General features: G+C 46.6%; 2 protein-coding genes across 4 annotated transcripts in view, besides 1 other annotated feature; one reads left to right on the top strand and one right to left on the bottom strand.

Annotated features, from left to right (window-relative positions):
* Positions 1-9411, bottom strand: part of PCDH7 (protocadherin 7) — a 426432-nt gene extending 417021 nt beyond the window's left edge. For all 3 annotated transcript variants that reach the window (NM_001173523.2, NM_032457.4, NM_002589.4), the window contains exon 1: positions 5184-9411. In NM_001173523.2, coding sequence (NP_001166994.1) covers positions 5184-8357 — 3174 coding nt within the window. In that variant the 5' untranslated portion in view covers positions 8358-9411. The remainder of the gene's footprint in view (positions 1-5183) is intronic.
* Positions 7892-8602: an enhancer, noted in NCBI's record as "H3K4me1 hESC enhancer chr4:30722800-30723510 (GRCh37/hg19 assembly coordinates)". NCBI's record gives its function as "activates a minimal SCP1, AML or CMV promoter by ChIP-STARR-seq in naive H9 embryonic stem cells {active_cell/tissue: H9 hESC(naive)}" and the evidence as "EXISTENCE:reporter gene assay evidence [ECO:0000049][PMID:30033119]".
* A 1247-nt stretch (positions 9412-10658) lies between the features above and the next one.
* On the top strand, positions 10659-13149 carry LOC124900844 (uncharacterized). The gene has a single exon (XM_047416545.1). The coding sequence runs from the start codon at positions 11873-11875 to the stop codon at positions 12437-12439; it is 567 nt and encodes a 188-aa protein (XP_047272501.1). The 5' UTR covers positions 10659-11872; the 3' UTR covers positions 12440-13149.
* The last annotated feature ends 313 nt before the right edge of the window (positions 13150-13462 follow it).

Genomic DNA, 13462 nt, shown 5'->3' with positions numbered 1-13462 from the left:
TGTTAAGGATGCTACTAAAATAAAATGTATGTGCAAAGTTGATAAAATGCACACAAGCCCAGAAGTCAAAAGTAATTATCAATATTGATGAAAAAGGTAAAAGATTATCACAATTAGAATGCATAAAAAGTTTCATACATAATGTGTAGAATGTTTTAATTCTTTTCTATTTAAATGAATTTTTATTGAAATATACTAATTGCTAGGAAGGAACTTATGTCTGTTATCATTGTTCTGCTAATATTAAAAATTCTGTCAACAGAATATATGTTCTTAACCATGTTAAGATGCTTTACTCTATGTTATCAATTACAATCCTACATGAGGGAAAAGAATTATTAACTTCTTTAAAATTCTGTAAATTTTGAATTATATTTTCCCAGATAATTTTACACAGAAGAACTGGAGCCTAAAGCAGAATTATAGTCTATTGTAAAGATGTCAATCTTCATAGCCAAATATATAGTCATAAATAAGTAAGTAAATTTCAACAGATTTCTACTGCAATTGAAATACACACACAGAAAGTTACAGAAATTCAGTTTTTTTCCCCCAAAGGTAGTATGATCAGATAAATAAGAATACTGGACACTACATTCCATAACTTGGACTCTAGTCCACATTATATCCCTGACAATTTTGTAATCCCAATCAAGTCACTGTTTCATGCTGGGCCTCAGTCTCCTCTTCTATTAAAATGAGGGGACTGTTTGACACCTTGTAATTCTAAAATGTGATGATGCTAGTGATTTCATGTACAGTCATTAAGCTGTTGATTATAGTATATTTTATTTCAACATTGTGTATGTTTAAGCTTAGATATTTTTCACATATTAATCTATAAACATCATGACTAAATAAAAGACTAATACAGCTATAAATGGTATACACTAATATGTGTGTATATGTCTCTGTGTGTACAGAGTTTGTGATATAAACCATGTTCACACTTTTTCACATACGAGATATGTAATTACTCAAAGATAGAAGGATAAGAAAAAATGATTTTGCCATATTTATTGTACTAGATGGCTCATTAAAATATTTAAACTGACTTTGTGGTCTTACATCTAAGTCATTAATTGGTTTAGGATAAGTTTTGGATAAGATTCAAATAATCATGTGGACTTCCATATAAATTTGCAAATTCATTGCGGATCAAATCAATGGATGACCTTTTCCTTATTTCATAGACATCCAGAGATCCAGATAGTGTTGCTTTACTAGATGACTAAAGACACAGCCTAACTTCCATCAGCTATTAGTGTTTTGCCTATGGTATCAGGCCAAATGTAACGGAAATTACAACATATGCAGATTCATTGTGCCTTATGAAAACATCCTTGGTTATAGACAGGAGAAAAACATTGTAAAAATTATGCTTACAGAATGAGCACTGGAAGCTATGGTTGGCATCACTATGTAGATGCATTTCCACTAAAGAATATATATATATGCTCTCTCTCTCTCTCTCTCTCTCTCTATATATATATATATATATACATATGTATGTATACACACACACACACACACAAATGAATTGACATTTAGTTTTCTTATTGCTTAATAGATGACAGCAAGTCAACCATTTGCTTCCAAAATTGAAGCAATTAAAAAATTCTCCCAAATTTTTTCACTAGGTATACAATGAATATATTGAACATAATTCGATCACTAAAGAGAACATTATGAAGACAAACTGAAACTGTCACTGAAGTTAATGTAAATTTTTTGTATTTCAGGATCAGCTGCAAGTGGATTTTAAAATGGATGTTTATTCAAACTAAGCTCTTGCCAAAAATAAATTACCTTACTTTCCATTTACTAAATACAATAAAATTTTTACTTGTAAGTGCATTATCTAAATAACAGCCTATCAAGGATAAGCTCAATAGAATTCAAGAATAATAAGCAAAATAGTAACTGTACTTTTCATACTATCACTCTTTGGGGGGATTACATTATTTTAAAAGAAAATTGAAAAATGCTTAGCACATAGTAAAATACCAGAGACTTAAAAATAAACAGAAAAATAGAATGCGTATGCCTTTATGTTATGAATGAAAAACACAGTTGTACTTCTAGTTCACAAAAGTTTAACAACTACCAAGACCAGGTTTACCAAGGAAGAATGAAACAGAAAGGTGGATACTTAATCTCAATCATGCTGTCAATGATCCACATTTTGCTCAGCTAAACACATTATTTAGCTGAGAGCAAAGGCTTTTGTTTGAAATGCAAAGGTATGAACTATGAAAATTTGGGCTACATCATCAGTGAGTTTTTCTAAAGTGTGAATTTCGGAAATAATTCCAGCAACTCTACCACACACATTTCCTAGAGTCTGCCATAGAAGCTTGATTTGAATGGCTCTCAAGTCTATGTAAACAAAACAAAAAGTAAGCAGTTAAGGGAGAGTATTATTTACAAACTTTCATTTCTACAAAGCTGTTTAACCTATTATAATGAAAACAACAGGACTTAGGTTCAACACTTTAAAATGTCTAATTTTCATGAAGATAAGAACACTCTTAAGAAACATCACTTTAATTTTTTCACAAATAAATAACTGCAATAAGGCAATTCAGGAAAACTATAAATAAAATGAATGTAAAATGAAATCTCAATTTTTAAATTAGACCCTGCTGTATGGAATTGAAAGAATACAACAGTCTAGTTTTACCTTAGATAAATCCATTTATCAAAAGAAGGAAATTCCCGCGAAACCCTGAATTCTCTTTTTTTCTTTTATAACATCAGGTTTAATCAAAGAAAATATATTTTGGCAGTTCTGTAAAAATTAAAGGTCATATATTTTAAAAATAAAAATAGGAAATTGTCTACTTATGGCACAAACAAAAAGCAGAACAAAAAGGATCCCATTTATGTCAGATGTCAAAACGGAATGTAACTTTGTAAATGGATCCCTTGTCCCCTGACAGCAATATTGAGGAGATGAAACATATCAATTACTATTACTAATTACATTAAGGGGAATGTGTTTCATCTGCCTTTATTTCATTTTAGGTCAGCTATTTACTTGGGGTTAAAAGTGTATACTTCTTTTGAATATGTAATGACAGAAAAGTTTTCCAAAGTCACTTTTGGCAAACTGTGTGATTCATTCCAATTGCTTTGAGGGTTTTCTCTTTTGGAATGTGGACTTCTTTACTCAGTTAAAAGGCTAACACCATATATTAGTTTATTTATAAGCATATCACTTTGCCTTTTAAACAGGATGCCAACAGTCTTGATATTAGCTGTTTTAAATATTCAAGCATATAGAGCTAACCTCATCTGATGAGCCAAATGAAGCTTAAGTAACAGCACAGAACATATGAAGTGTTTGCATAAAATATCCATAAAAGTGTCACTTGATATGTCCATTCAAAAGCATAAGATTACACAATTTAGAACGCAAATGCTATCCAGACACAGGACAGAAGTACCATTAGGATAAGAACCGAGGTGTAAATATTCTGCAGACAGATCTCTTCACACTCCTTTGCATTAGGTGTTACTATTTTCTAGAGAAATGTCTACAAATCTCAATTTATTTTTGAGTGTTTAATCTGTAAAAAGTGCTACCATTTTAGCTAGAATCTTCCTTGTTTACAACACCAATAAAAGCACCAAAACAACACAAAAATCAGCTTCTCACTCCATGTAACACAATAATACAACAGATATAAACACTCCACTATGTCAAATGTTGGTTTAAAATAAATAAATAATTCAAATTCACATACACCAAAGGACATATTTTCAAAAGCCATTTAATGCAAATGTAGTTTGAACTGGTGTTTTCTTGGATTGCATTTGTTATTAGATATAAAAGTATATTCAGACTGTTTCTCCTTATCTGAATAGCTACAGTAAAGTACTATATACAGAAAATATTTATTTAAAATACTAATTTCAATAATCATGAAAGCAATTAAGAATTCATATCTCTTTCTATAACTATAATCTTCAATGAGGCTATAAAATAACTTTTTCCTTTGCCTCAATTCTTCTCGGATTCCACATTCCACATGCAAAGCATGTTTAATAGAAATTAGATTGACAATCATAACTGTGTTTCTTGAGATGGGTTCTGACAGTAAGAAATACGTAATGTTTTATTAGCTGAGGTTGCTGTACCATGAGACACAGTCCTTTCCAAAAGGTCTTGTTTGCTGTGTGGCAAACTTTGGTAGATATACAAAGTAAACTTTCTGAGGATGCTATATTACACGAGGAAAACTTTCAAAAATAAATTTCAGATTTGCTTAAGTTCCGCCTCAGAATATATGTATTTTTTACTGTTTCCACATTTCACTGAGAAACTATTATGTCAAATATTCCACATAATCTTTACATTCTCAATATATCATAATGCATACCAAAATAGTCTTGCACACAGTACATCAATCATGAATATTTTCATTACTTGGCTTAAATAATAAATGGCTCATGCAATGTATTTTTGTTTGCAAACTTTTAATACCAAACAGAAAGAATGCAAATGGTAATTGCATATCATTATAGAACACTAATTGTTATAGGTATCGATTATTATAGATATAAAAGATTGAAAGTGGAGTTTTGCATGACATTTGCATATCAGTAAATATTTTTAAACCAGCAGTTTCATCAAAGTAGTCAGTATTTCAATATCTCAGACTTAGTACTACATCTGCATGAATCAGCATCTATTTATCTGTAAAATCCTGCATTGTAAATAACATAGCTAAAACTTCTATGGAATCCAATTTGCATAGACACCAGTAGTAACTTTAGAAACTTTTTCTCTGGATGTAATTATCCACTTAGTTGCCACAGAAGAAAATAATTTCAGGTGAAAACTAACCATCTAAGTAATACACACATATTTATTCTGGAAACAAAAAAATGTAGTATGAATTAGGGATGTCAAGTGCAAAGAGAACTGCCAAACACTGCCTACTCTGAATACTTCTTTCAGTAGTTTAGTGAACCTTAATTCTAATTTGCAAAATACAGTGGTATACCTCTTGTAGATGGCCTTTGCTAAATTAATGGTGCAAAAATTAACATTAAATTCCTACTGTTAAAATTTTAATAACTTTAAAAACGAGAAGACAAAACTTTACAGAAGATAATCTGTCTCAGAGTTATTAGCCCTCCCTGGGATATTTAAATATATTTGGGATACATCTTACCTGTTTGCTGTACTTGTTATTGGTTTGACAGCTGTACTCAGAGCAGTGATCTGATCCAATTGAAATGTTGTCTCCTGCTCCCACAAATGTGTTGGCTGGTGGTAGATCTTGTACGGCCTGGTGTTTTTTTCCTGCAGTTGGTGACTGGGGATGAAGCTGAACAGTAGGCAATGGGGAACTAGATTTGTAATGCCTTGCCAGGTCAGGACTGCCGGGCCCACCATTAACGGACCTGTATCGCCCCATGCTTGGGCTGTCTGACAGCTTCTCATTGACACTATCATACCTCTGTCCATTTGGCTTAGAAGCCTCCACAGTGACAATGCTGCTGTAGAGAGGCTGCTTAGATTTTTTGTTTTTCTTGTCCTTTTTAGGCTTTTTAGATTTGTCATGCTGTTGGGGTGTAAAAAAGTCTTCGTGATCTTTTTTGCCGGCTTCATAGCCATTTTTATTTTTGGACCTGCAGTACCTTGCCATCACTACAATTAAGATGATTAGAATCACCGTCATAATGCCAGCAACCACGCCAATGACAATACTGAGTCTCTGTTTGCTAATTTCATAGCTTGGGTCACCAGCTATATCCTGGGTGAGTGGGATGTGCAAACTTCTAGCTATCTGGGAGTCAATCGCAGTTGCATTAGAAACACTTTCATTGACAAACACGTGCACCAGAGTCGTGGTGGACTGGGAAGGCTGCCCACTGTCATTCACTTGCACCACCAACCTGTGCAAGCCATAATGCTTTTGGGTGAGTTTTCCCACTAAGGAAACCACACCACTAGTGGGATCAATTTCAAACAGCTTGAAGGGATTTCCTCCCACAATGCTGTAGTTCAGGTCTGCATTGATGCCATCATCACTGTCTGTTGCCAACACTGTAGCTACTACTGTCCTGACATTACTCGAAGGTGGCAGTAAAGTGTAGGAAATGTTTTTGGGAAGGGTAACTGTGGGAGCATTGTCATTTTCATCCATCACAAAAAGCGAGACTGTAGCTGTGGCAGATCTGGGAGGATCTCCCCCATCCACAGCCTTGACTCTGAAAGTGTATGTGGTCTGATGTTCCCGGTCAAAAGACATTGTGGAGTAAATGGTCCCCGTGTCATTTTCAATAGAAAAAATGTTATTGTTCTCCTCTATGTACAGGCTCATCTCTGCATTCCGCCCCTTGTCAGCATCCATCACGGTGACCATCCCCACAGGGCTGTTGGGCTGCAAGTTTTCTTTCACATAAAAGGTGAAGACGTCCTGCATAAACTTAGGGTCATTGTCATTTTTATCAGCCACCTGCACAATCACCGTAGTGCTGCCCTGCAGCACGGGGATGCCTTTGTCTTTGGCGTTAACTTTAAACTCATACCTGTCAGTCTGCTCGCGGTCCAGCACGGTATTGACCAGGATGTCCCCAGAATCGGGATCGATGGCAAAGATCCCCATCACAGAGGAGTCCAGCGAGTAGGCGATCTCGGCGTTCTTACCGCTGTCTGCGTCTGTCGCCAGCACCGTGGCCACCCTCTCGCCCGGGATGTTGTTCTCAGGGAAGTAAACCTCCACCACCGACTGGCCGAACATGGGCGGGTTGTCGTTGGTGTCTCCCACCTTGACAATCAGGGAGTTGTTGCTCGAGAGGCTGGGGCTGCCTGAGTCCACCGCCACGATGACCACGTTGAACTCCCGGGTGGCCTCATAGTCCAGAGGGGTCGAGGTGTGCAAGAAGTACTTTTTCTTGTTCTGGTCGCCCTCGGTGTCGCTGGCTGGCTTGAGCTGGAAGGGCACGTCGCCCACCACGGTGCAGGTGACCACCCCGTTCTCGCCTTGGTCTCGGTCGGACACCTGCACCAGAGCGATGGGGGTGTCGACCAGAACGTCCTCGGCCACGTTGGCCACCCCGTCCTTGAGGGGGATGCGCCCAATCTTGCGGATTTCAATGGACGGCACGTTGTCGTTCTCGTCTTTGATGTTAAGGACCACGGTGGCCTTGTCGGTCTTGGGGGGCTGCCCGCGGTCGCGGGCCATGACCGTGAAGCGCAGCTGGTTCACCTCCTCGCGGTCGATCCGGTGCAGGACGCTGAGCCAGCCGGACGTCTCGTCAAGGCGCAGCAGCCGCCTCACCGACTCGGTGGCCGCCCCGAACACGTATTCGATCTGCCCGTTGACCCCCACGTCCAAGTCGGCTGCGCGCAGTTGCAGGATGGGGGTCCCCGGGGCGCTGTTCTCAGCCAAGTCGGCCTCGTACACGCTCTTCTCGAAGCGGGGGCTGTTGTCGTTCACGTCGGTGATGAGGACCCGTAGGATGGCCTGCGAGGAGCGAGGCGGGTCGCCGCCGTCGCGCACTCGCAGGGTCAGCTCGTAGGAGTCGCGCTGCTCGCGGTCCAGCGCCCCCTTCACGATCAGCTGCGGCTGCTTCTCGCCGTCCGGGGTGTCCGCCACCTGCAGCTCGAACACGCTGCTGCGGCCGCCGGGGTTGGTGCCGCCGCCGCCCTCTGATGCGTCCAGCCGCCGCTTGGAGCCTCCCGAGCCGCCGCCGCTCGCGCCGTTCCCGCCGCCCCCGGGGTAGGGGGCGCTGTCGGCCGCCCCGGCGCGCCGGCTCTCGCCGCCGCTGCCGCCGCCTCCGGGCTCCTGGAGCAGCTCGTAGCGCTCGATGCCGTTGCGGCCGAAGTCGCGGTCGGTGGCTGTGGGCAGCAGGTAAAGTGTGCCCACCGGCCGATTCTCCTCCACCGTGAGCGTGAGCACGGGCGACGGGAAGGTGGGCGTGTTGTCGTTGATGTCAAGCACGATGACCTGACCCTCAAACAGGTCCACCCAGCTCTGCGAGGGCCCGATCACCGACACCTCGAAGTCCAGGAAGCACTCGTTCTCGTCGAAGATCATCTGACACTGGGGCAGCTTCTCGCGGTCGATGCGCCGCTCGCTCGTGCTCAGCTCGCCAGTGAGGTTGTCGATCTTCAGGTACTCGGAACCGGACTCCAGGCTGAAAGTCACCTCACCCGATCCGGTCACGATGCCCAGGTCTGAAGCCACGTTGCCGATGCGGACGTCGGCGGGGCCCTCCTCGGCCAGCCGGTACCGGAGGAGCTGCTTGGCGGCCGCCAGGCTGAGCGAGAGCGGCAGGAGGAGGCAGCAGCCCAAGCACCAGCCGCGCGCCCATCCCGCGGTCCGCATCCTCAGCATCTTCTCCTGCTGCTGCTGCTACTGCTCCTTCTAACCACAGCCCCCTCGGCGCCCCCCTCCTCCGGGGCCGGCCGCCTGCCCTCCCCCGAGTCCTCTCCCCTCTCCCGGAAAGGAAGGAGCGAGAGGGAGGGGAGGGAGGGGGCAAAAGCGGCGTGGAGAGTTGGCCGGGAATGGGGGTGGGAGGGCAGCGATAGATGCTTCTTTTTTTCCTCCTGCTTCTTCCGAAAGTTATTGTTTCATAATTCATGCAATGGGTGCTAATCGCCCGCTCGCCTGCCGCCGTTCAGTCGCAGTACTCACAGTTCACGGGACACTGCGCGCCGCGGGTTCGGCGCTCCCCCAACCCAGAGTCATCCCCTCAGCGGGCGGAGAATCCCCGGCTCTAGTCCCCGCTCTGTCGGAAGGGGCCAGAACCGCTCCGGCAGACGGGCAGTGGGGCTGGGAAGAGGTGGGGAATGAGCCTGCAGCCTCCCCCGCCTGCCAGCCCGCTGGTCTTTGCTGCTACTCGAGTTGAGTCCAATTCACGTTCCAGGCACTCACTCCAAACCCAGGCTCTGCTCCGGCTCCGGCCACCCAGACAAACGTGAGTCGCTTCCTGCACCAGGCGCTGGGGCCAGCAACAAGCCAGTCTCAACTCCGACTCTGCTCATGCAGCGGGGGAGCCAGTCAACAGATCGAGAATGAAAAATCCCCCGGCACGTCGCTTCGGGCACGGTGCAGGGGAGACTACTCGCGTCACAGAGCGGTCAGTGTCAGGGTCCCCCCGGCGCGCCAAAGAGAAGCCCGAGCCATCTTCAGAGACGCCCAGAGTCAGTCCCTTCTCACCCCGGAGAGCGCGGGTTTCTCTTTTTTCTTAACAACTCTGCGCAAGGTCATTAGTCACGAAGCAGCCGCCTGAAACCGCAGCAGCCTTTCGCCCACGGGGGCGAAGGCTGAGCAGTGCGCACCGTGCGGTGCCCAAGTTTGGGTTCGCAGCCGCAGAGTCCGTGCCTTTTCTCACCTGCATTCGGCCCGCATGTCGGAGCAGTGGGATCTGCAGCGCTGTGCGCGATTCAGGGAGGAGATTGCAGCCTCTCTCTCCCCGCTCTCTCTCGATCCCTCCCCTCCCTCCCTCCCTTTCTCTCTCCTCCCTCCTCTCTCTCCTCCCTCCTCTCCTTTCCCCTTTCCCCCTCTCCCACTCGCTCTCTTGCACGCTCTCTCTCCTTCCCAATGCAGGGAACTCAAGCTGAACTTGATCCCTTTGCAGTTCAAAGGTGAGCAAACCAGGCTCGGAGCACAGGCGACGTTAGCCGGCGAAAGCGCACGGCCGGGCGTCCCCAACGGCAATTAACAAAGATGCCCAATTCTGTCTGGATTTCCGAAGAAAAGCCAAAGGCTTTCGGGCGGGGGTGGAGGGGGAGGTGGAGTCAGAGACAGCTGCCAAGTAGCTTAAAAAAAAAAATCCAGTTTGCCAAGGGGAGAAAAAGTGTCAGTCGGTTGTGGCCTCGGAAGTGCCCTGGCACGGCTGGTGAATTCCGCAGTTGTCTCGTCCCTTTTCGCGTCTGGGAGAGTCTGGTGCGGGCGCTCCCGCCGCCCCTCGGGCTGCAGCGGCTCGGAGACACTGAACCGCTAGTGGGAATCTCCCGTTCGCTACCCGCGAGCAGGAAACCCGCAAGTTGCCCAAAGTGGTGGTTGCTGCTGGGTGCTCGCTCGCTCACGGATCAGGCTTGTCCCTGACGCTGCTGCTGCAGCGGCGGCGGCAGTAGCAGCCGAGCCGCCGAAACTACACACTAGGAGAGAGCGAGGGAGGAGGGCCCGGGATAAGGAGGCGGGAGGGAGCGTCAGCCAGCCGCCGCGCTCGGGAAAGCCCAGCCTCAGCTCCAGGGGCCGCTCAAAGTGTGCCCAATCCCAGCCAGTCCTCTTTAAGCCAAAGCCCAGTCCCCCTCCCTAGCGAGTACCGCCGTCTTCTCTGGGGGACTTGTTTTCCCTCCCTCGGGCTGGTAAATTTCCTCCTCCCTTGACTAATGCCCAGTTCACGCGTGAGAGCTTTCGGAGCTGGTGTCAGGATAGGTTTCTCCTTCTCCCTCCCTCTCAGACGACGTCCTCCTCCCCCCGGAAAGTGTCTCCGGTTCGCGATTTAGGATCTTGGTTAGGACATGGTTATCGGGGTCCTGGGGAACCTACGAGCGCCCAGAAAGCCACTCTGTTCTGAAAAACCATGACGGGCTGCAGTAGTGAAGAGAGAACATCAAACTCCAGAGAGCTGGAGAAAGATCCTTTTTTGGGAGCTCAGACTTTGGATGGTTGCGGGGGGCAGGGGCGGCGGTGGGTGGAGGGTGAAGGATGTCTGTCTTTGTTTAAATGCTTGACATTCCTGTCGTCGTGCTTGCTTGCGGGGGTAGACCGTGTGTGCGCGCCTGGGGAATAAACACATGTTGGAAACCTCGATATTATTTTCTGAGCAGAAACCTGCAGCCTTTAGTAACTGGCAAAGTGTAGCGTCACCTATCTGGATAAAAGGGAAATAAACTTTAATGGCAACTTTGTGTACCAAAGTGTCCCCAGCTTTCCCATCTCTCCTTTTGACTTTGTGTCCCTTGACTGTCCCTATTTCCTGAAGCAAGGCTTCTCCAATTTTCATTCACGACCACCGCAGCCGGCCTCATCAGATCTCAGGTCTGGTTGTGTTTTTGAACTGAGCCATTTACTCATTTATTTCAGTGGCTGTAAACGAAGAGGCCCGGCTAGGATTAAGACGACTGAGACGGACTGTAGGTATTTGGGGAGAATTTTTACCATCTCGAAAGAGAGAAAGGGCCGCTGCTGGGATTTGCTTAGTCTTCAGCTCGCCTGACGTATCCATACACATTTAAGGGCCTCCCCTCAAAGAAAAATTTAAAGCCGAAAAAATAAAATCTGTCCAGTGTGGGTATTCTTTACGAGACCTGGGTGACGAGGCAGAATGATTTAAACAAGACAAACACCAATAAAGTCAACGAGCAGATGTAGCGCGCGGTTGTTTGGGCGGGCGCAGGAACAGGAATGAGGAGGGAGAGGCGGCAGAGATTTCCAAGCTCTCCCTACAGGGGATCGTAGATGCCCGTTGGATGGAAGTGTGTCTAAGTGTGTGTCAGGGAGCTGGCGAGTATTTTCCAGTCTGTGAAAGTAGCATCACCCCAGGGGTGGTGGCTCCTCCTCCGAGGCCAGGGCAGGGAACCCGGCCTTCCCGCTAACCCTCCCGCTGCTGGCACCCGAACCTCTCAGCTCTGTATCTGCAGCATCAGCGAGAAAAGCCCCGCGCGCAGGCTCAGTGCGCACCGCCGCAGTCTCGAGCCGGGGGCGGGGGTGGGCTCCGCAGCGCCTTCGCGGCCGGCTAAGTGGCAGTAAAGCCAAATCCCTCTTACATTTGGCAAGAACCCGGGTTTATCGGAACGCCTGCCTCTCTCCAAACCTCCGACCCTGGTTCCCCTTTTTCCCAGGTTGGAGGCAAATGGGAGAAGCCGTCTCCACTCCGCGGCCTTGCGCCGTGCATTCCGATGCGCGGCAATATGGTGCAGTGCACTCACTCCCCTCATCGCCTTACTAAGATTTTGCAAACTTCAGGCAGCCGCTTGGGCAGAAACGTTGTGCACTCCCTCTTCCCTCTCCAGACCATAAACTTGAATAAGCCTCTCCGCATCTTCAAAGCATTTGCTCGCGGCTCTGGCGCGCACTCTCCAGGCGCACACTTGAGCGGGGCGCGAAGGAGTGGGCGGCTTTTCCTCAGCGCGCTGCACATTTCTTCCCGGATGACTAGGGAGTTGCAGCGCGTCCTTCACAGTGGAGTGGTTTCCTCTTTGCGAGCGGGAGGAAGTCTCCAGCCCGCCCTCCTCACTCTCATTCCTACCAACTTCGCGGCGGAGCCAAGCCAGCGTGGGAAATGGGTCCGACGTGTGCTGCATGGAGAACAGCGAGGACAGACTGCGGGGGCCAAGAAGCCTGCTGGCTTTGCTCCCACCCCCATCAGTCCCAGGCTCCGACCTTTCTGCCAGAGCAGCAAAGAAGTGGCGGCGGCTTTGCCCTGCAGCGCCGTTCTGGGCAAGCAAAGGAAATGGGCGGGGTAGGGGTACGGGGGAGGTGAGAGGAGCCCTCGGGGCGCCCTTGCGGCGGCTGGAGCTCCCAGTCCTCTTCCGCCCCCTCTCTAGGGGCTGACACTCTCTCCTCTCGCCGGCGCAGAGGATGAATGAAGAGAGAAGCAGTTTCTCCCACCCCCGCCCCATTTCCGCAGTCTTAGAGCCAGTGTCACAAGTGCTCAGCAATTTCATTAAATGGAACCGGGAGACTTAATCCCCCCCGGTACCAGACCTCACCGAGGGAATGTGATATCCGGCTTCGCTCCCACCCACCAACCCCCCCCCCCCCCCCCCCCCGGCTTCTCAGACCCGAGGCTGCATTTATCTACTCAACCTGAGAGGAAAGGGTTCAGAAGGAAATGGGATCGAAAGTGTAACCGCCTGCAATAAATTAAAGAGCCTGCTGCTGCTGCTGCTGCTGCTGCTGCTGCTGCTGCTTTGGCGGCCAGAACTGGAGAGAGAAAATGAGATCAGTGCCCTAAAGCTTGCATCGATCAGAGTGATTAGACGTCATCGCATGTAGGAAGCAAAATGTTTGAGGGAATGTTGAAATGGAGATTTCTGTTTTTTCTTTAGTGGCTTTTTAAAAAAGAACAATAAAAGGAAATACCCCTTTGAAATCAAGATGTAAAAAATGAAATTGATTAAAATATAAATATCATCCCGTGCTAATATGCATTTAATAAAACCTTGACAAACGATTCATTTTCTGTGCCAGAAATCTTACCCTAAACTTAAAATATTCAGTAGATTTTTTTTTTTTAATTTACCTACTAACCTCGCTTGCTTAAACCTGTTTTGCCGTTAAGAAATTTCAGTGGCTGAACTGAAAAATAGCATTCAGGGTCCCTGATGTAGTTCAAGCCTCAAGAAAAGACAGTAAGAGAAGTAACTACAACAAAAGTTTATGGTTAAGAATACAAAGTAGATGCTGGAGATGTGATCTCAGGGGGCCTTTCATTTATAATAGACGCTGTATTCACAATAATATGAGAAAAAGGTTAAATACAGTAA

Source organism: Homo sapiens, chromosome 4 (genome assembly GCF_000001405.40).
Source record: "Homo sapiens chromosome 4, GRCh38.p14 Primary Assembly".
Classification (NCBI taxonomy): Eukaryota; Metazoa; Chordata; class Mammalia; order Primates; family Hominidae; genus Homo; species Homo sapiens.
This window is presented reverse-complemented; position numbering and strand designations above follow the sequence as displayed.